Genomic DNA, 23,047 nt, shown 5'->3' with positions numbered 1-23,047 from the left:
AGTCTCGAACTCCCGGCCTCAAGCAATCCTCATGCCTGGGCCTGCCAAAGTGTTGGGATTACAGGTGTGAGCCACCACTCCCAGCCTAGACATTTCGTATAAATTGAATCCTATCATAATGTGACCTTTTATGATTGACTTCTTTAATTGAGCATAATATTTTCAAGATTCTTCATATTGTAGCCCCTACTCATGTGTTATTCCTTTTCATGGCTGAATTACATCTCATTATCTGGATATTCCACATTTTATTTATCCATTTATCAATAAATGGATATTTGGGATATTTCTCCTTTTGGGCCATTACAGCTTGCTTTCTATATTTTTTTATACCCTATAGGTAGTTGTTTTTTTTGCCTTCCTGTTTGGCATGTATGTATAGTTTGTATGTATATGATATTTATGTATTATTTATACTTTTGTAAGTATTCAGAGGAATTTTTAGCCTTGTTGCTGATAACATGTCCCATGTTTTATTGCATTTTAGTTTGTATTCCCTAAGTTTAATTAGTATTCTTAATGTTTTTCAGTTGAATTTATAAAGCATGTCATAAGGGGAACTGGAGTGACTATCTTTCTGCTGTTTTTGTCATTGTTTTGGATCTAGGAAAAAATGCTTGGATTATAAATGGGATTGCTTCACAGCAAAAGATACATTTCTATTTTCACCCTTTTCAGAGCATTCTGCTAAGTGATGAATCCAGCGAGGCTGATTCTCAGAGTGAAGACGATGATGAAGAAGAACTCAATCTCAGCAGAGAAGAACTTCACAACATGCTTCGACTACACAAATATAAGAAACTTCACCAAAATAAGTATAGTAAAGACAAGGAGGTAAGAGTTTCAGGAGAAACACTTCAAACTGAATATTCACCCTCTGCTTTATAGTCATTAAAGATACATCATTTTGGCTGGGCGTGGTGGCTCACACCTATAATCCCAGCACTTTGGGAGGACGAGGCGGGCGGATCATGAGGTCAAGAAATTGAAACCATCCCGGCCAACATGGTGAAACCCCCTGTCTACTAAAAATACAAAATTTAGCTGGGTGTGGTGGCGTGCGCCTGTAGTCCCAGCTACTCAGGAGGCTGAGGCAGGAGAATTGCTCGAACCCAGAGGCGGAGGTTGCAGTGAGCCGAGATCACAGCACTGCACTCCAGCCTGGCGACAGAGCGAGACTCTGTCTCAAAAAAAAAAAAAAAAAAAAAAAGAGATACATCATTTTATGGAGCTGGAAATCATTATCCTCAGTAGTGAGTGTAAGTGGGAGCTGAACAATGAGAACACATGGACACAGGAAGGGGAACAAGACACACTGGGCCTGGGCAGGTGGGTGCAGGAGGAGGGAGAGCATCAGGAAAAACAGCTAATGCTTGCTGGGCTTAATACTTAGGTGATGGGTTGATAGGTGCAGCAAACCACATGGCACATGTTTACCCGTGTAGCAAACCTGCACATCTTGCACATGTACCCTGGTACTTAAAAAAAAGAGAAAATTCCTGACTGGGTGCGGTGGCTCACGCCTGTAATCCCAGCACTTTGGGAGGCTGAAGTGGGCAGATCAGTTGAGGTCAGGAGTTCGAGCCCAGCCCAGCCAACTTGGTGAAACTCCATCTCTACTAAAAATACAAAAAGTTGGCTGGGCGCAGTGACTCACGCCTGTAATCCCAGCACTTTGGGAGGCCCAGGCGGGTGAATCACCTGAGGTCAGGAGTTCGAGACCAGCCTGACCAACATAAGGAAACTGTGTCTCTACTAAAAATACAAAATTAGCTGGGCGTGGTGGTGCATGCCTGTAATCCCAGGTACTCAGGAGGCTGAGGCAGGAGAATCGCTTGAACCCGGGAGGTGGAGGTTGCAGTGAGCCGAGATTGAGCCACTGCACTCTTGCCTGGGTGACAGAGCAAGACTTCATCTCAAAAAAAAAAAAAAAAAGAATTTCTAAAATTCTCTGGAATCAATGAAATTAAACTACTAATACTTCGGATGTACTAGACTAAAAGATATGTTCTTAAAAAAAAAAAGATACATCATTTTAACTTTAGGTAGCAGTGGAGCAGCTTTATTGAGATGTAATTCACATAACAAAACTTCAGCCTTATATAGTGTGCAATTCAGTGTTTTTTTAATATATTCATAGTTGTGTTACTATCATTACTGCCTAATTCCAGAACATTTGCATCACCTCATAAAGAAACCGCATGCCTCTTAGCTGTTGCCCCTCATTCTTTCTGTCCCTCAGTCCAGACAACCACCAATCCACTCTGTTCCTTTTTTCTTTTTTTTGGACAGAGTCTCGCTCTGTTGCCCAGGCTGGAGTGCAGTGGCGCGATCTTGGCTCACTGCAGCCTCTGCTTCCCAGGGTCAAGCGATTCTCCTGCTCAGCCTGCTGAGTAGCTGAGATTACAGGCGTGTGCCACCACGCCCGGCTTTTTTTTTGCGTTTTTAGTAAAGACGGGTTTTCACCATGTTGGCCAGGTTGGTCTCGAACTCCTGACCTCAGGTGATCCTCCCGCCTTAGCCTACCAAAGTGCTGGGATTACAGGCGTGAGCCACCATCCCCAGCCCAATCTGCTCTGTTTCTATAAATGTGCCCATTCTAGACATTTCATACAAATGCAATCATGCAACATGTGCCTGTGTCCAGCTTCTCTCACTTAATGTCATATTTTCAAGATTGATTAATGTTGTAGCATGTATCAGCATTTCATTTCTTCTTATTGCAAATATTCGTTGTATTTATACCTTATCTTATATATGCATTGTCCAGTTCATGAACTATGATTAGCATATTTCTACTTTTTGGCTATTTTGAATAATGATGGTATGAAGATTTGTGTACAGGTTTTGTGTTGATGTGTTTTCGTTTCTCTTCATTATATACTTAACAGTGAAATTGCTGGGTCATATGGAAACACCTTGCTTAGCCTTTTGAGGAATTGCCAGAATGCTTACATTCTAGTGTTGCTTATTCATGCAGTTGCTCTTTGGGTGTAGTGTTTCTCTCTTAGAAAGCTCTTCATACACTAACATTAAAATGATGATAGTTTTGAGTGACAACTATTTGAATGCCGTTACCAAAGCCTTCTGACTCTTTCTTTCTTTTTTTTTTTTTTTGAGATTGAGTTTCACTTTTGTTGCCCAGGCTCGAGTGCAATGGCGTGATCTCGGCTCACTGCCACCTCCGCCTTCTGAGTTCAAGCAGTACTCCTGCCTCAGTCTCCCGAGTAGCTGGGATTACAGGCATGCGCCACTGCGCCTGGCTATTTTTGTATTTTTAGTAGAGATACGGTTTTTCAATGTTCGTCAGGCTTGTCTCAGACTCAGGTGATCCACCCGCCTCGGCCTCCCAAAGTGCTGGGATTACAGGGGTGAGCCACCCCGCCCAGCCGCCTTCTGACTATTTCTACAAGTGTGGAACGTTGTACATAATGAGCAATAGTATATTTGAAGACCTAAGAATTTTCTAGCAATTAGTTAAGGTCCAAAGTTAGTTCAGAGAGATTGGAATAATATTCTGAACCTTATAAACCTGTAGAAGTGGTTAACAGAGTATCTGACCCTTTTGATGTAAAAAGTTCCTTCCTTCTTAAACTCCAGCAGTAAGGTACTTGGCGCTCCAAGTATTTGCTTGTTTTTTATGTTTATTTTTTATTTATTTTTGTTTTATTTTTTGAGATGGAGGCTCTGTTACCCAGACTGAAATGCAGTGGCATGATCTTGGCTCACTGCAACCTCTGCCTCCTGGGTTCAGGCAGTTCTCCTGTCTTAGTCTCCCAAGTAGCTGGGACTACAGAAGCCTGCCACCATGCCTGGCTAATTTTTTTTATTTTTAGTAGAGATGTGGTTTCATCATGTTGGCCAGGCTGGTCTCGACTTCCTGACCTCAAATAATTTGCCCACCTTGGCCTTCCAAAGTGCTGGTATTACAGGCATGAGCCATGGCGCCCAGCTGAGCCACCATGCCTGGCCTGCTTGTTTTTTAAATTCAGATAAAACATACATATAGGAAAGTTATCAGACTTTAAGTGTACAGCTCAGTGCATGCTAATTTAATTTTGATTTTTAACAGAGGACATTGTAATAGTTCCCCATGTTAATCTTTCAGTCTTATTTCAGTCCTCAGACAATTTATTTGGCTATAATCCAGGAAAGAGATTTAATAGTGGGCTACCTAATTTTAATTTATATTTATGCATTAGTAATATGTGAAACAAAATTAATATGAGATTTGGGGAGTAAGTGAAATATTTGGAAGCATTTACTTACCACTTCCTGGATGGAAAGAGTTACGTTATTCATATGTTAGAATTCTGGCAATGTAGGCACTATTTATAATAATAGCAGACTGTCTTAGTGGGAGATGAAGAGAGGAAAGACTTGAAAGATTCAAGAATTGGGATGACTGGTGACTATTTGAAGCAGACATATGACTAATAGAAAAGCAAGCATGAAGGGCCAGTTGAAGTGGCTCACACTTGTTAATCCCAGCACTTTGGGAGGCTGAGGTGGGCTGACACTGAGATGGGCTGACCACGAGGTCAGGAGATCAAGACCATCCTGGCCAACGTGGTGAAACCTCGTGTCTACTAAAAATACAAAAATCAGCTGGGTGTGGTGGCGTGTGCTTGTAATCCCAGCTACTTGGGAGGCTGAGACACGAGAATCGCTTGAACCAAGGGGCGGAGGTTGCAGTGAGCCCAGATCATGCCGCTGCACTCCAGCCTGGCGACAGAGCAAGACTCTGTCTCAAAAAAAAAAAAAAAAAAAAAAGAAAAGCAAGCATGAGGAACCTTAGTAAATCTGAGGAACTGTTGGTAATAGAAGTATGGCTTATTTCTTGGTGGTGAATTTCCAAGGGGAGACATTTCTGCAAGGAATTAATTTCATGTCTTAGTATATGTCAGGTTTAAGTAAGTATGTAGAAATTCAGAAGCATGAAGAGTTTTGCTTTCTTAAATTATTTTCAGTGACTTGTTACGTGTATAGGAGTTGAACTCATTTTGTTTGAAGTTAAGTAAGTGATTCCCTTAGATATACTAGATGTTACTGATCTCTTTGTGGGAAGAATACTGTATTTAGGAGCTATGATTTCCTCTGGCTTAGTTTTCTGTAGTAAAGGTAATTTGAAAGCTGTACTATAGAAAACAGGCCCATCATGGTCTTTGCCTGCTTCAGTTGCAGCAATATCAGTACTACAGTGCAGGCCTGCTCTCCACATATGACCCTTTCTATGAGCAACAACGGCACCTACTTGGACCCAAGAAAAAGAAATTTAAGGAGGAAAAGAAACTTAAAGGTGAGCATGTTGAACTGCCTTCCACGTATATTCATTCTTAGTTTCAGAATTGCATGTGGCCTACTGGTGCATTTGGACTTTATATATAAGTCCATATGGTAGAAATTTGCTTTATCTGAAAAACTCTCCTTTCTAATTAGTAGCAAGTACAGTTTTCCCTTTGGTATCCATGGGTGATTGGATTCTGGACCCCTGGCAGGTACCAAAATCCAGAGATGCTCAAATTCATTATGTAAAATGGTATAGTATTTGCATATGAGCTGTGCACATCCTCTCGTATACTTTAAGTCATCTCTGGATTACTTATAATACCTCATATGATGTAAATGCTATGTAAATACTTGTTATCCTATATTGTTTAGAGAATAATGACCAAAAAAAGTTTGTACATATTCAGTACAGCTGCTGCAACCATTCTTTTTTTTTTTTCCTGAATATTTTTGATCCTCGGTTGAATCTATGATGTGGAACCCACAGATAGGAAGGGTAGACTATATTATTAACCTTAATTCATATTTGGCTTATAGTCTTTAGTTCTAGAATTGGAAAGACAGATTCCTAGCTAAAGGTTTAGGCAAAATTAGTTTATTCCATTTTTCTTATACACACTCTGCAAATATTGCAAATGTTCTGGGATAGGAAGTTGGTTATGCACAGAGAAGTAAGAAAAGTAACCTGAAGTGTTTGGAATAAGTTATCATTGTTGCTGTCCGAGGTGATTTAAAATAGATCACCTCCTGATGATCTTCTGTAGTGTTTGTTTGCATGTTTGCCAGGAAATGTCCTTTCCTCTCTTACTGAGCTCTCAGCAGCTGGATATCAGGAAGGAAACTGAAAGAGAAAGTTTTAAACTATCTTTGTGAGGCAAATTTTATTCCCCTGAAAGTATTAATTTCTTTTTTTTTTTTTTTGAGATGGAGTCTCGCTCTGTCACCCAGGCTGGAGTGCAGTGGCGTGATCTCAGCTCACTGCAACCTCTACCTCCTGAGTTCACGCAATTCTCATGCCTCAGCCTCCCGAGTAGTTGGGATTAAAGGTGCACGCCACTATACCTGGCTAATTTTTGTATTTTTAGTAGAGATGGGGTTTCACCATGTTGGCCAGGCTGGTCTTGAACTCCTGACCTCAGGTGATCCGCCTGCCTTGGCCTCTCAAAGTGCTGGGATTACCGGCGTGAGCCATCGCACCTGGCTTAAAGGTATGAATTGTACTCAAAAAGGCTCCTTTTAGCCTTCCCTTCTTTCTCTATTATCTTTATTAGTGTTTTCTCACCCTCCACACACTTTCTCCAACCTGAATTAAGGTTTTGTTTCATGTATTTTTGTCTTGCAAGTCTTAGTGACATATCAATATGTCTTTTTCTTCTCTTTTATTTTTCTTTATCCACCTTATAGGTATACTTTTTTCTTATTTTCCCCACACTGCATAGATGTATAGCCACCTTATATTGCCACCAAGTAGAAATAAGTTTCCTTCCTTTGACTATTACTTGAGTCTGTGATACCTCAGACACATCCTTACCTATTAGGTTCAAAAGAAATTTGGTTCTTGCCACGCGCCTGTAGTCCCAGCTACTCGGGAGGCTGAAGCGGGAGAATCGCTTGAACCTGGGAGGTGGAGGTTGCAGTGAGCCGAGATTGCACCATTGCACTCCAACCTGGGCGACAGGGCGAGGCTCCGTCTCGGAAAAAAAATAAAAGAAATTTGGTTCTCGGGTTTTATTCTGTATTTCACTTTCATATAAACAGAGTGAGTATCCAGTGTTCTTTTCCAGGTTAGTGAGGTATCAATCAGTATGTTTCTTCTTCTCTGTTACTTTTCTTCCTCAAGGAATATTCATGGGTCTGAGTAGATAAAGGGATATGTGTTGTCAGTGTCAGGTGGAATAAGGAAAGAACCTTGCATGTTTTAAGTCATGAGGTTGCTTTGTGACTATCTCCTGTGGAAGTGCAACCTGTTGCATCTGTTTCTTTTGCAGCTAAGTTGAAAAAAGTGAAGAAAAAAAGACGAAGAGATGAAGAACTTTCCTCTGAAGAATCCCCTCGTCGCCATCACCACCAGACCAAAGTCTTTGCCAAGTTTTCTCACGATGCACCTCCCCCTGGCACTAAGAAAAAGCACTTATCCATTGAGCAGCTGAATGCTCGTCGCAGGAAAGTATGGCTCAGCATTGTGAAAAAGGAACTACCAAAGGTAAGTGAATGCCTCCAGGAGATGGAAATTAGGAGAATGTTTTCTCTCCCCACCCACTAAAGAGGAACTCTGAGAGCTAGATACTTTCACAGATAGGAATTCTGCAAAGAAACTAATCTGTTGGAATCAAGAAAATGCTGAGTAGTACTCTTTCAGTTAACAGTTTCTTCTAGAATGTGGTCAGAATTCACAAGACAATTAGTTATTGTGTGATGCTCCGTGGTCAAAAAATTGGAGGACAACTTCTTCAAGAAAAGAATGCAGTTTTCCTAAATATAGCAATAGATACTTGACAGCCAATTTATAGGTGATATTAGAAAAAATTAAAAAGAGGCCAGGCATGGCAGGTCACACCTGTAATCCCAGCACTTTGGGAGGCTGAGGTGGGTAGATCGCTTGAGCCCAGGAGTTTGAGACCAGTCTGGACAGCATGGTGAAACCCCATCTCTCCAAAAACTACAAAAATGAACTGGGCGTAGCGGCACATGTTTGTAGCCCTCCCTATGCAAGTGGCTGAGGCAGGATAGATAGAGCCCAGGAGGTTGAGGCTGCAGCGAGCTGAGATCGCACCACTGCACTCTAGCTTGTGTAACAGAATGTGTAACATAATAAATATTTATTTATTTTATCTCAAAAATTAAATAAAATAAAAAGGAGTTGATATGTTTCTTAGAGAATTTACAAATGTTTGAATGTTGCTGGATAATCACAGGCACTAGAATAAAATGTGAACGAGTTAAACATGTATAAGCATTTTTCCTCTTAATTCATTTGGTTTTGATAACATTTTATTTTATTATTATTATTTTTGAGATGGAGTCTTGCTCTGTCGCCTGGGCTGGATTGCAGTGTCATCATCTCGGCTCACTGCAACCTCCGCTTCCCAGGTTCAAACAATTCTCCTTCCTTAGCCTTCCAAGTACCTGGGGCTACAGGCAGATGCCACCATGCCCAGCTAATTTTTGTATTTTGGTAGAGATGGGGTTTCACCATGTTGGCCAGGCTGGTCTCGAACTCTTGACCCCAGGTGATCTGCCTGGCTCCGCCTCATAAAGTGTTGGGATTACAGGTGTGCGCCACCACGCCCAGCCAATAACATGTTATTTTGATATAATTTCAAAATTAATAGTTGCAAACCAGATGCCATATGTAGCGTTTTTTTTTTTTTTTTAAAGAAGTTGCAATTATAGTCCAAGGAATGTCTGTTTACCCTTAAGTGAGATTCACCAGTTGTTTACATATTACTCTTAAGGATGAATTGAGTGCAATCCTGATAGGAACAGGATATTTCATTATAAATTGGATTTTTTTTAGAAACGGGATATTTTATGAATTGAGAAAAGTTGATACTAAAGTCCATGTGATGAAGTCAGAATGTAGGAGTAGCTGGGGAAGAATTGGAAAAATCCCCACTAAACGTTAGAACACGCTACAAAACCTCTACAGTTAAAAAAGTATGGTACTGGCACATGAATAGGCAAATAGATGAGTAGAATAAGCTGGTGGACTTACAAATTAGTAGTGCCGAGACAACTGGGTAGCAATTTAGATAAAACTAGATCTGCATCTTACACATATACTTCATATAGGTTAGTATGACACTTTTTAAACTATGGAGGTTATAGTGTGTTTTAATTTTTTTTTTTTTTTTTTTTTGAGACGGAGTCTCGTCTCTTGCCCTGGCTGGAGTACAGGTGTGTGATCTTGGCTCACTGCAACCTCTGCCTCCTGGGTTTCAGCGATTCTCCCACTTCTGCCTCCCAAGTAGCTGAGTAGCTGGGACTACAGGTGCGCGCCGTCACACCCAGCTAATTTTTGTATTTTTGGAAGAGACGAGGTTTCGCCATGTTGGTCAGGCTGGTCTTGAACTCCCGACCTCAAGTGAGCTGCTCACCTCAGCTTTCCAAAGTGCTGGAATTATAGGTGTGAGCCACCATGCCCAACCTGTTTTAATGTTTTGAGGATATTACCTTTGATCCCTTGGTATGGTGGTGTTTTGCTACTGTAAAATTAAAATTTTTTTTCCATAGCAGTTAATAAGTATTTCTGGAGACATAGTTGATGCTTGAGCATTCTTTTTTTTTTTTTTTTTGAGACGGAGTCTGGCTTTGTCGCCCAGGCTGGAGTGCGATCTCGGCTCACTGCAAGCTCCGCCTCCCGGGTTCACGCCATTCTCCTCCTTCAGCCTCCGGAGTAGCTGGGACTACAGGCACCCGCCACGACACCTGGCTAATTTTTTTTTGTATTTTTAGTAGAGACAAGGTTTCACCCTATTAGCCAGGCTGGTCTCGATCTTCTGACCTCATGATCTGTGCGCCTCGGCCTCCCATAGTGCCGGGATTGCAGACGTGAGCCACTGCACCCGGCCTGTGCTTGAGCATTCTTGATGGGAAAGTTATGGGAAACTTTCCCATGACTTAGTACCTGATGAAGAGGCCTCAGATGGTGTCCTTTCAATGAAAGAAATGAGTTTTCATTTCTTTTTGAGATAGGGTCTTGTTCTGTTGCCCAGGCTGGAGTGCAGTGGACTCATCTTGGTTCACTTCAGCGTTGATCTCCCAGGCTCAAGCAGTCCTCGCACCTCAGCCTCCTTAGTACCTGGGGCTATAAGTGTGTGCCACCACACTGAGCTAATTCTGTTTATTTAATTTTTTTTTGTTTTTTGAGACGGAGTTTCGCTCTTGTCACCCAGGTTGGAGTACAATGGCATGATCTCGACTCACTGCAACCTCCACCTCCCGGGTTCAAGCAATTCTCCTGAGGTAGCTCCCTCCTGGGTAGCTGGGATTACAGGCGCCTGCCACCACACTCAGCTAATTTTTGTATTTTTAGTAGAGACGGGGATTCACCATGTTGACCAGGCTGGTGTTGAAGTCCTGACCTCAGGTGATCCAACCACCTCGGCCTCCCAAAGTGCTGGGATTACAGGCGTGAGCCACCACGCCCGGCCCAATTCTGTTTATTTTTTATAGAGACGAGGTCTCACTATCTTGCCCAGGCTAGTCTCGAACTCCTGGACTCAAGTGATCCTCCTGCCTCAACCTCCCAAAGTGCCGGGGTTGCAGGTGTAAGCCACTGCGCCTGGCCAAGAAATGACTTTTTTTTTTTTTTTTTTTTTGAGACGGAGTTTTGCTCTTGTCACCCAGGCTGGAGTGCAGTGGTACGATCTCGGCTCACTGCAGCCTCCGCCTCCTGAGTTCAAGTGATTCTCCTGCTTCAGCCTCCCGAGTAGCTAGGATTACAGGCATGTGCCACCATGCCTGGCTAAGTTTTCTATTTTTAGTAGAAATGGGGCTTCACCACATTGGCCAGTCTGGTCTCAAACTCATTACCTCAAGTGATCCACCCGCCTCGGCCTCCCAAAGTGCTGGGATTACAGGCGTGAACCACCATTCCTGGCCAGGAAATGACTTTTTAGTGGGAATATTTGAGGTTCCTGGCTTCAGAGTGACAATAGCTCTTTAATTAGTAAGAGTTTTTTTTTTATAAAAGGCTCATATATTCCCTTAAATTTGCTGTCTTACGTGCAAACATTAAAGAAATGGCTTTCAGACCTTCTTTGTCACTTTGAACCCATTGTTTCTTTAACATCAAGGAGAGTACTCTTCAGTACTGAAAGAGCCACCCAGCTCTGCCTCTTCAGCATCTTCTTCCATGTCAAATAGACATCATGGGGAGTCAGGTTTCTGTACTGACTTTTGTTTTTCCCCTTAGCTAGAGTGGAAAACACAAATAGCTGGGTTGTGGGCTGCTGGGTCATTTTGTGTTAGGTCTTCCTTGGAGTTTAGTTTTAGAGAAGATTAGGCTTATGTGGTGGCAGAAACTGAGTAATAGTGACATCAGGTTTGCCTAGGCTGGAGGTGGGGCTAGAATCACACTTAGGAGACTAGTTTATCTTTCTCCTAATGATTCCTGTATCTGGATGCCCTGCTCTCTCAGCCTTGCAGATTGGCCCTGGTAAGCAACATGTTTTTAATCAGGATAGTGCTAAGGTTTAGGTATTGTAACATTTTTCTAGTCCACTTCAAGCCTTACATGTAACTTAACATCTTCCCAAAAGTATACAGAAGACTATTTAAGGCATCCACAATGCTGACTTATTCTTCTTGAATGCTTCTTTAATCGTTTTATGTATGGCGTTGAGACAATACATCTGGATGACTTATAGAAGTAATATATCTTGCTTGGCTTGACATTTTCTAACCCTCTAGGAATTGAGTAAAAGACTGTTCATTCTACATAGTCTTAGTTCAAAAATGAATCCTAAATGAAATATTGTTTTTTAAATATTTTAGGCAAATAAGCAGAAAGCTTCAGCTCGTAACCTGTTTCTCACCAATAGCCGAAAGGTAAAATTGTAGTTTTGTATTTTCCATTTCATGTTTTGCTGGAATATATTCTTCTTCTTTGGGGTCCATCTTGCTGCTCTTGTCCGTCGTAACCTGTTGATCATGAATCTAATAGTTCGTAAGAGAGTTTCTGAATGTTCTCAAGCTGTTTATTTTTTATTTTTATTTTTTGAGACAGAGTCTCAGCCACCCAGGCTGGAGTGCAGTGGCAGTGATCTTGGCTCACTGCAACCACCGTCTCCCAGGTTCAAGCGATTCTCCCATCTCAGCCTCCCGAGTAGCTGGGATTATAGGCACCTGCCATCATGCCCTATAATTTTTGTATTTTAGTAGAGACAGTTTCACCATGTTGGCCAGGCTGGTCTTGAACTCCTGACCTCAGGTGATCTGCCTGCCTCAGCCTCCCAAAGTGCTAGGATTACAGGCATGAGCCACCGCGCCCGGCCTCAATCTGTTTATTAAATAAAATTGTTCTTCCTCACATTTCTGGTATTTGAACCTTTTTGGATAAGACCATAGCCCACCCTGATTTCTTGAGCAGATCATGGAATCTTCCTGTCTTCAGTCTCGTCTAAGAAATAATGATGTGAATACCTTCCCTTAGAGGAGACTAAAACAACTTCCTTTAAGAATTGTGAGGATCAGATTAGGCCATGTTATTAGTTGTGTTTCTCTGGGGTAGTCATTCAACTGTGTTTCCTCATTTATAAATGAGGGTGATGGTAATGCCAATTTCATAGGGTTTTTGTGAAGAGTAAATTGGTTTAATATATTTTTCAGTGGTGCTAAAGATGTAATAAGCAGTGATAGCTGTTATTAATGTGTGCAATAACATTTTGTAACTTCCAAGCACATCCCAGGTCCTTCTTCATCATTATAATTTTTCATCTTCTAAGGTGATAGAAATTGGATAGATTTCTTATCCCTGATAATACCACAGGGTCTGGGCCTATGTCACAGTACTGTACAAGGACATTAATCAAGTTGCAGGAGAAAGATGTGGTCAAGGATGACAGTTTGGCTGAACAGATTGAGGAATGATGTGGTTTAGAGTCCAGGAAGAACCAGCTTCTGGTATGGGGTCCTTTCCGCTGTAATGCTGTTGTTGTTTTCAGCTTGCTCACCAGTGCATGAAGGAGGTGCGTCGAGCTGCCTTGCAGGCCCAGAAGAACTGTAAGGAAACCTTGCCTCGTGCCCGCCGCCTCACCAAGGAGATGCTTCTGTACTGGAAGAAATATGAGAAAGTAGAGAAGGAGCACCGCAAGAGAGCAGAGAAGGAAGCTTTGGAGCAGCGGAAGTTGGATGAGGAAATGCGGGAGGTAGGGCAAAAGCATAACATTTTGAAAACCCTAATTACTACAGCCATTTGAAGAGATTCGTTTGCATTTTGAAAATTGTACATCTAACCAATGACACTGTCAATTTTTTGTTTTTTTTTTTTTTTTGGTAGAGATGCGGTTTCTCCACATTGCCCAGGCTGGTCTCAAACTCCTGAGCTTCGAGTGATCCGCCTGCCTTGATCTCCTACCGTCAGAAATTTTTTTAAAGACTTAATTTTGAGGATGGTGATTTTAGACTAGTAAACCAATTCTGCTTTTAGTCTTTTGGTAAGGCCCTCCTCAGGCCTTTTTCTCTTTTCTTCTAAGCTGTCTTCCTCTATTCTGGGCTCTTATTCCTCAAGAAAAAGGAATGAGCAAAAGAGAAAGAAAGTAGCTTTTAATTCATCTTGGTTTGTTTGTAGGTGCTGACTGCAGTTTTGCTTTTTTTGGACAGTAAGAAATAGATGCCAAATTCAGGGCCAGATAGGGACAGTGGACAATGAGCCCAGTTTTCTAAGACTTACCCTTCACCTACTGTACTGTTTTATTTATTTTTTTGTTTTGAGATGAAGTTTCACTCTTGTCGCCCAGGCTGGAGTGCAGTGGCGTAATCTCGGCTCTGCAACCTTTGCCTCCCACATTCAAGCAATTCTGCCTCAGCTTCCTGAGTAGCTGGGACTATAGGCACCCACCACCATGCCTGGCTAATTTTTTGTATTTTTAGTAGAGACAGGGTTTCACTATGTTGGCCAGGCTGGTTTTGAATTCCTGAGCTCAGATGATACGCCTGCCTCGGCCTCCCAAAGTGCTGAGATTACAGGCGTGAGCCACCATGCCCAGCCTACTTTACTGTTTTAACTTGCAGCCAGTACTGTTGGTAAACCTGATGCCAGCTGATGTAGGCTGTGTATATTGCTGAGGGAAGCAAGAGGAGAGAGTAAGAAGGCAAATCATTGTATTGCCATTGATAAACCAGCTGAGATGAATGGAAGGAGAGTTGAGATTTGAAGAAAGAAGGGAATTAGTGGTTTGGATGATGTTTTCTTTCAGGTATATGTAGTAACTCATGTCAAAGTGGAGCTTTGGAGCCTTTTCTGAGCTCTTGATCTTCCCTTATTTTATCATGACTTCGAGAATGAAGATGGATTTTGCTCAGTTCTCTTAAGTCTCCTGGTTAATTCGTATATTTGCATGCAAGGTAATCATAATTATCAAGTTAGTAAACATTTGATGCTTTTGGGAATTCTTAACTCAGAGAATTTAAAGTCATTTCAGAGTTAGCCACAGATCTTGAAGTTTTGCAGGCAACTTGGCCTATATTCTAGATTTCTGAGACCTAGATTCTTAGTTATGTTGATAGCTAACTGATGGTTATGCTGACTTATGCATTTTTCTTTGAACTTCTGAAATAAAATTTTGACATATCCTTTCTGTTTTCTTAATCTACTTCGTTCATTTAATCATATGGTAGTTAACTTCTTTAGGGTTAAAGATATTATTCTTGGCCGGGCGCGGTGGCTCACGTCTGTAATCTCAGCACTTTGGGAGGCCGAGGTGGGTGGATCACAAGGTCAGGAGTTCAAGACCAGCTTGGCCAACATGGTGAAACCCTGTCTCTACTAAAAATACAAAAATTAGCCGGGCATGGTGGCGGCCGCCTGTAATCTCAGCTGCTTGGGAGGCTGAGGCAGAGAATTGCTTGAACCCGGGAGGTGGAGGTTGCAGTGAGCTGAGATCGTGCCACTACACTCCAGCCTGGGTGACAGAGGAAGAATCCATCTCAAAAAAAAAAAAAAAGATGTTATTCTTTTTCTTAATTGTTTTACTTTAGAAAGTTTTCCTTAGGCTGAGTGTATTGGCTCATGCCCATAATCCTAGCAGAAAGGCAGAGACGGGAGGATCGCTGGAATCTAGGAGTTCAAGACCAGTGTGGGCAACATAGTGATACTTCATATCTATAAACAGTAGAAAAATTAGACAGGTGTAGTGGCACATGCCTATAGTCCCAGTTACTTTGGAGGCTGAGGTGGGAGTATTGCTTGAGCCTGGGATGTTGAGGCTGCAGTGAGCTGTGTTCTTGTTACTGCCTCCAGCCTGGGTGACAGAGTAAGATACCATCTCTTCAGAAAAAAACAAAGATTTTCTTGATAGCACTTTAGGTTTGAAACATGAACATTCATGAAGACAAAAACTTAATTTTCTCTCACTCTCTTTCTCAAGTTTTCTTCTATTTTGGATCTGGCTCAAGTGCTATAAAGCTTTAAAGAGACAGGATAGTTTTACGTAGGTTACTGCTTTATAAAATATACTTTCAGCCTTTTGGGTTTTTTTTTTTTTTTTTGCTGTATTCCCTATTGTATTGTTTTTCTTTTGGGAGAGTGGATCAAGGATAAATCAAGTATATTTTATGAATTTTGTTATGAAATAATTCAAAATAATGACTCTTGGACCAATAATGCTCTTTTTTGGAAAAAAAAAAAAATAAAGCAAACAAGGCTGGGCGCGGTGGCTCACGCTTGTAATCCCAGCACTTTGGGAGGCCGAGGTGGGCGGATCAAGAGATCGGGAGATCGAGACCATCCTGGCTAACACGGTGAAACCCCGTCTTTACTAAAAATACAAAAAATTAGCTGGGTGTGGTGGCATACACCTGTAGTCCTAGCTACTCGGGAGGCTGAGACAGCAGAATCGCTTGAACCGGGGAGATGGAGGTTGCAGTGAGCCGAGATTGCACCACTGCACTCCAGCCAGGGTGAGAGAGCGAGACTCCATCTCAAAAAAAGAAAAAGAAAACAAAATAATGACTCTTTAATATGCTACTTATACTGTGTTCTGTGTTCCATATAATTTGGTATTTTGGATTATGTTTTCATTTTATTGTTTATCTTAGGAATGATTTTATTTATCGACACAATGATTATTTTTCTTAGGTTATTTTAGAGTAGAGGCACTTAGAAAAAAAGTGATATCTTACTCTGTCACCCAGGCTGGAGTGCAGTGGCATAATCTTGGCTCAGTGCAGCATCAATCTCTTGGGCTCAAGCAGTCCTCCCGCCTCAGCCTCCAGTGTAGCTGGGACTGCAGGTACATGCTACCATGCCTGGCAAATTTTTTTATTTTTTGTAGAAACAAGGTTTTGCCATGTTGCCCAGTCTGGTCTCAAACTCCTGAGATCAAGCAGTCCACCTGAAAGGCACTTTTAATTTAGCCTTCTGACATTAAAAAAAAAAAAAAGAAAGTTTGCACATGTATGTGTATTCAGTCTATATTCGTTTTTTGTAGCTATTATTATCACAGATGAAATATAGGTTGTTGGGTTTTGTTTTGTTTTGTTTTGTTTTGAGACAGAGTCTTGCTCTGTTACCCAGTCTGAAGTGCAGTGGCGTGACCTCGGCTCACTGCAACCTTTCCTCCTGGGTTCAAGCGATTCTCCTGCTTCAGCCTCCTAAGTAGCTGGGATTACAGGCGCCTGCCACCATGCCTGGCTAATTTTTGTATTTTTATCAGAGACGAGGTTTCTCCATGTTGACCAGGCTGATCTCGAACTCCTGACCTCAGGTGATCTGCCAGCCTTGGTCTCCCAAAGTGCCGGGATTATAGGCATGAGCTACCATGCCTGGCCAAAAAATACAGATTGTGTTGGGGAGTATTTTGTTCCTTCCTGTAGATTGTTTTGGGGAGTATTTTCTTTCTTCCATTAACTTGTTAATTTCATATACCTATTGTATTGGCTTTCAGAATAATTTATAGCTCTTTGTCAGCTATTTTGACTTTTGGTGGTAAGAGTTTTAGGGCCGGTGTGGTGGCTGGCCAGGTGCAGTGGCTCACACCTATAATCCCAGCACTTTGTGAGGCTGAATGTGGGCCGATCACATGAGGTCAGGAGTTCGAGACCAGCCTGGTCAATATGGTGAAACCCGTCTCTACTAAAAAAATACAACAATACGGGCTGGGCATGGTGGCTCACACCTTTAATCCCAGCACTTTGGGAGGCTGAGACGGGCAGATCATGAGGTCGGGAGATTGAGACCATCCTGGCTAACGCAGTGAAACCGCGTCTCTACTAAAAATACAAAAAATTAGCCGGGCATGTTGGCAGGCGCCTGTAGTCCCAGCTACTCAGGAGGCTGAGACAGGAGAATGGCATGAACCCAGGAGGCAGTGCTTGCAGTTAGCCAAGATCACGCCACTGCACTCCAGCCTGGGCGACAGAGGGAGACTCTGCCCCCCGCCTCCCCCGCCGCCAAAAAAAAATAGAAAAATTAGCCAGGCATTGTGGTGGACGCCTATAGTCCCAGCTACTTGGGAGAGCAAGGCAGGAGAATCACTTGAACCTGGGAGGCAGAGGTTACGGTGAGGCTCAGATTGTGCCATTGCACTCCAGCCTGGCCCACACAGTTAGACTTGTCTCAAAAAAAAAAAAAAGAAAAGTTTCTGACATGTGTACATTTTCAAAAATAATAAAGCTACATAGACATGTATCCACCATCCAGGTTATAAAATGGAATATACTGTTTGAATTTAGTTGTTGTCTCTGTGCCACCATAGAAAAGTAATGTAAGAAAGAAACATTTTAGTCAGAAGCCTAATAGAGAAAAGATTCACAGTATAAAGGAGAGCAAAACACTTGTTACTAGCAGATTATGAATGAAAGTTATTCATTGTGCCAGGTGTGGTGGCTCATGCCTGTAATCCCAGCACTTTGGGATGCTGAAGCCAGTGGATCACCTCAGTTCGAGACCAGCCTGGCCAACATGGTGAAACCCTGTCTTTACTAGTAATATACAAATTAGCCGAGTTTAGTGGTGCTCACTTGTAATCCCAGCTACTCTGGAGGCTGAGGTACGAGACTAGCTTGAACCCGGGAGGCGGAGGTCGCAGTGAGCCGAGATCGTGCCACTATACTCCAGCCCATGCGACCAGCTGAGACTCTGTCTGAAAAAGGAAAAGAAATTTATTCATTGCTTTTAGTGCCACTGACTTGGCTAAATTAAAATTGTTTATCAGTGATGTTTACATTTTTAAAAGTAAACAGTTGGTAAAGGAATTGTATGCAAATATAAGTGGTGAATTCTGGACTACTTCTTGGATATCATTGATAATTTGGCTCTGTTTTCACTTTTTTCCCTCTTTAGGCCAAGAGGCAACAGCGAAAACTCAACTTCTTAATTACCCAGACAGAGTTGTATGCCCATTTCATGAGTCGCAAACGAGATATGGGTCATGATGGTATCCAGGAAGAAATCCTAAGGAAACTGGAAGACAGTTCTACCCAGAGACAAATCGATATAGGTGGAGGAGTGGTAGTTAACATCACACAGGAGGATTATGGTGAGTCCTCAGTCAGGACTTAGAGGAAGGCTACCTCTTATTTTTTATATCTAAAGGTTATATACATTAATTTTTGCGAATTTTTTATTGATTCATAGGTAATTTACCAGAAAAGAGAGATTTATTGTACTGGAGTAGGGAAAGTGTGTTTCTATAACAGAAGTATAAGACCATTTATTAAAGAATTTGAATAGGAAGCGTTGTGGTTATATGATCTTGCAAGTTTGGGAATATTTTTGTTGTGATTTGTTAGTAGAAATAACAGGTATTGTAATCACAGTTCAGTAGAACTGAACTGTGTTTCAGCAGAGGAAAACATCTCTCACATAATACGATTCTTGTTTATTTAAGCACAAGAAAGCAGCTGTTCAGTTGTCTTTATGTGATCACAAGGAGAGGGAGGAATTGGGATGAAGTTTGAGAGGAATTTCATGGAGAATGCTGATTAAGATTGTGTTGAGCTAGAAATAGTAGAGATTGTAACTGCTTTATAGTATCTTGGGGTTTAAATATGTCTGTATTTCTCCTGTTAAAATAGTTTCACCTATCATAAATATATTAAAATTTTGAATCCTGATTGTCTTGATTGTTGTAGCTTGGTATTATTTGGTAGAAGAAACCCCAGTACTGAGAGGCAGTGCCGTGATGTTTTTTGTGAGCTTGCTTTGGCTACTGGAGACCATGGCAGTCCTCCACCTCCATTGCATTTCCAGCTTCTTACCTCTGAGAATTTAGCCTTTCTCTTCCCCCACCCTCCGTGAACCCAGGGATAAGTAGAATGAGGGAATCAGGGATCCACATACATTGGTGTTAATTGTATCTTAGAACAAAATCAGTTGATAAAGTGTGATAATCCATAAATTTTGCTTTTCAGATAGTAACCATTTTAAAGCCCAGGCCCTGAAGAATGCTGAAAATGCTTACCATATTCACCAAGCTCGGGTGAGTCTTCAGATAGAAAGGTTTACTGTAATTGGCCCTGGAAATACCCCACAAGCCTTTACTTAGGTGGTCTTCCTTTAGTCTTAATCACATTTGCAATTAAAAGCATAGACTAGCTTGTGTATATGTGTGTGAGTAGCTGTGTGTAGGGGGTGGAGCTGGGTCTCTTTCACTTTAGATTAGTAGGGATACTAGAAGAAAGGCAGAAAAACGAATATTCAGTTTTCTAGCTTTAGCAATGTGTTAATTTCAAGTTAGAACAGTTTGTATTTTTTTTTCTTTCTCTTGAGTAATCATGGGCAATACAGTATGAAATGTATCATAGATGTTTAATGAAAAAGACCATACTCACCGGGCGTGGTGGCTCACTCCTGTAATCCTAGCACTTTGGGAGGCTGAGGTGGGTGGATCACGAGGTCAGGAGATCGAGACCATCCAGGCTAACACGGTGAAACCCCATCTCTACTAAAATACAAAAAATTAGCCGGGGGTGGCGGAGGGCGCTTGTAGTCCCAGCTACTCGGGAGGCTGAGGCAGGAGAATGACGTGAACCCGGTAGGCGGAGCTTGCTGTGAGCCGAGATTGTGCCACTGCACTCCAGCCTGGGCGACAGATTGAGACTGCATCTCAAAAAAAAAAAGAAAAAGACCACACTCTTGGCTTGTTAAGAGAGCCATATCATGGTTTCAAAAAACTGCTACGTTATTTAATGCCTTCTTTCACTTAAGTAATAACTTGCTCTTTGTTATTTATTTATTTATTTATTCTTTTTTTTTTTTTTTTTTTGAGGCGGGAGTCTTGCTTTGTCACCCTCCTGAGTAGCTGGGACTACAGGTGCGCACCACCACACCCAGCTAATTTTTTTTATTTTAGTAGAGACGGGGTTTCACCATGTTGGCCAGGATGGTCTCGATCTCCTGACCTCGTGATCCGCCCGCCTTGGCCTCCCAAAGTGCTGGGATTACAGGCGTGAGCCACTGCGCCTGGCCCAAGCTCTTTGTTATGTATGATATAGTGATGTTTAACAAAATCAGAAAGAAACTACAATCAGGTTGAATTAAGTAAAAAATTTGCTGTTTTTAATATACTGCATAGGAGCCCCTATTTAACATTGACAGAGTGTAAGTCAAAGATAGACGAATGTGACCTTCCCCAATTTCTAATATAATTGTTACATTAAATAATATTAGTAATATGTTTTATAGAAATGATGTCATATGATACTACGTTATATTATCAGATTATGAGAAATTTTGTTCCAATTATTTTTCTTAGCACAGGGTAGATATATTGTTATCTTGAGTCTTATTTTCATGTAATATTTTTCCTCTTTTTTTTTTTTCTAATTTTTTTTTTTTTTACTTTCCAGACAAGGTCATTTGATGAAGATGCAAAAGAAAGTCGAGCAGCTGCCCTACGGGCAGCAAACAAGTCTGGCACTGGGTTTGGGGAGAGTTATAGCCTGGCTAACCCATCTATCCGGGCTGGTGAGGATATTCCACAGCCCACAATTTTTAATGGCAAATTGAAAGGTTATCAACTGAAAGGCATGAATTGGTTGGCCAATCTATATGAACAGGTGAATTTTAGAACCGTGTCATTCTCTTCTATTATCTCTTTTCCTAAAGTCATTTGTTCAATGTGATTGTGAAATGAGTACAAGATCTGGCTGAGCGCGGTGGCTCATGCCTGCAATTCCAGCACTTTGGGAGGCCAAGGCAGGCGGATCACCTGAGGTTGGGAGTTCGAGACCAGCCTGACCAACATGGTGAAACCCCATCTCTACTAAAAAAAAAAAATACAAAATTAGCCTGGCATGGTGGTGCATGCCTGTGATCCCAGCTACTTGGGAGGCTGAGGCAGGAGAATCATTTGAATCTGGGAGGCGGAGATTGCGGTGAGCTAAGATGGCGCCATTGCACTGTAGCCTGGGCAACAAGAGCAAAACTCTATCTCAAAAAAAAAAAAAAAAAAAAAAAGGAAATGAGTACAAGATCATGTTTTAGATTTCACCCTTTTAAAAAGCTGTATCCTGGGGAGGGATAGCAGTAGGAGAAATACCTAATGTAAATGACGAGTTAATGGGTGCAGCACACCAACATGGCACATGTATACATATGTAACAAACCTGCACGTTGTGCACATGTACCCTAGAACTTAAAGTATAATTAAAAATAAATTAATGTAGATTTATTAAAAAATAAAAAGCTATATCCTTTGACAAGAGGCAGAAGGATGTCTCTGTTTCTCTTTCTTTTTGAGACAGGATCTTACTCTGTCACCCAGGCTGAAGTGGAGTGGTGCGTTTATGGCTCACTGTAGCCTTAAACTCCTGGGCTCAAGTGACCCTCCTGCCTCAGCCCCCAGAATAGCTGGGACTGCAGACACATGCCACCACGCCTGACTAATTTTTGTATTTTTTGTAGAAACGGGCTGTCTCCATGTTGCCCAGACTGGTCTCAAACTCCTGGGCTCATGCGATATGCCTGCCTCGGCCTCCCAAAGTGCCGGGACGGGCATGAGCCACTGCACCCAGCTGATGTCTTTTTGTTTTTTTGTAACCTGGAGATCCTACTGGAGAATATTTGTGTATTTCTTATGGTTTGTCTTATATGGACTTGGTAAATCTAATTGCTTTTGTGTCTGGGTTGTATTAGCTAACAGATTGGCCTTGCCCTGTCTCATGTATCATGGTTCATAGTTGTAGCTGTAGCATTGGCAAAAGCAATTACTATAGCAGTGGGTAAAAGTGCTGAGGCTGAGTATCTCTGGTCACTTCTCTTTAAACAAGCCTGTTATCTTGGTCGTTCTTTTTGGTAACAGGTTGAACTTTATTTGATGAAATGCATGAGGTGTTGACCATGTATTTTTTTTCCCCAGGGTATTAATGGCATTCTTGCTGATGAAATGGGCCTTGGTAAAACAGTACAGAGCATTGCCCTTCTGGCCCATCTGGCTGAGGTGGGTAGATGCAATCTTTCTATCTTCATTTCTCTAGAATTTAGGGTAATTTCTGTTGAAAATCAGCCACTTAAAAGCACTATGTTAAGCTGTGTAGCATTCCAAGATAGTGGGACTGGGTTCTTGCCTCAGAGCTTTATAAGGGGACAGTGTTTTATAACTTTTTGGTTTTTAAGAGGGCTAGGACAATTTTTGAGCATGTGATTTTGAGACACTCCTTTCCGCTCTGCATTAATTACCACCAGTGTAGTGGCAAGGGCCATATAGTTAGATCAGAACACCTTGCCTAACATTTCAGCTCTACTCTTATTACCAGTGTAAACTTGGGCAATTTAGCCTCTTTTTCAACTTAACTCTCTGAGGCTTAGTTTCCTCTTCCTCTTCCTCTTCTATGGAGACGTTATCTACTTTATAGGAATTTTATAAGAATTAAATTTTAAAAATGCGTAAAACTGAAAAAAAAGCAAAAGCTCTATACCTATTAAATAACTACAAGATTGTCGGATAACTAGTATAGTAGAAAACAATACATACAAGTCAGTGTGTCATGAATGCTTTGTGGATAAGACCTATAAGAGGTCAGAAGAGGGAATAGTTGCTTGCCATTTTTTTCTCAGGTGTGTCTTTATGTTCTTATTATTAACATAGGATAT

The 23,047-nt window shown here is 41.6% G+C and overlaps 1 protein-coding gene across 5 annotated transcripts in view; it reads left to right on the top strand.

The window, feature by feature from the left end:
• INO80 (INO80 complex ATPase subunit) overlaps positions 1-23,047 on the top strand; it is a 137,401-nt gene that overhangs the window by 23,420 nt on the left and 90,934 nt on the right. For all 5 annotated transcript variants that reach the window (NR_104038.2, XR_001751322.3, NM_017553.3 and 2 more), the window contains exons 5-13: positions 679-834; positions 5,179-5,299; positions 7,278-7,492; positions 11,788-11,841; positions 12,957-13,160; positions 18,296-18,491; positions 19,366-19,433; positions 20,803-21,012; positions 22,314-22,394. Coding sequence is in view for 3 of the 5 variants with exons in the window: in NM_017553.3 (NP_060023.1) it covers positions 679-834; positions 5,179-5,299; positions 7,278-7,492; positions 11,788-11,841; positions 12,957-13,160; positions 18,296-18,491; positions 19,366-19,433; positions 20,803-21,012; positions 22,314-22,394 (1,305 nt within the window). In the remaining 2 variants the exon portion in view is untranslated. The remainder of the gene's footprint in view (positions 1-678; positions 835-5,178; positions 5,300-7,277; positions 7,493-11,787; positions 11,842-12,956; positions 13,161-18,295; positions 18,492-19,365; positions 19,434-20,802; positions 21,013-22,313; positions 22,395-23,047) is intronic.

Source organism: Homo sapiens, chromosome 15 (genome assembly GCF_000001405.40).
Source record: "Homo sapiens chromosome 15, GRCh38.p14 Primary Assembly".
Classification (NCBI taxonomy): domain Eukaryota; kingdom Metazoa; phylum Chordata; class Mammalia; order Primates; family Hominidae; genus Homo; species Homo sapiens.
Note: the sequence above shows the minus strand (reverse complement) of the source record. Positions and strands in the feature narration are given on the sequence as shown.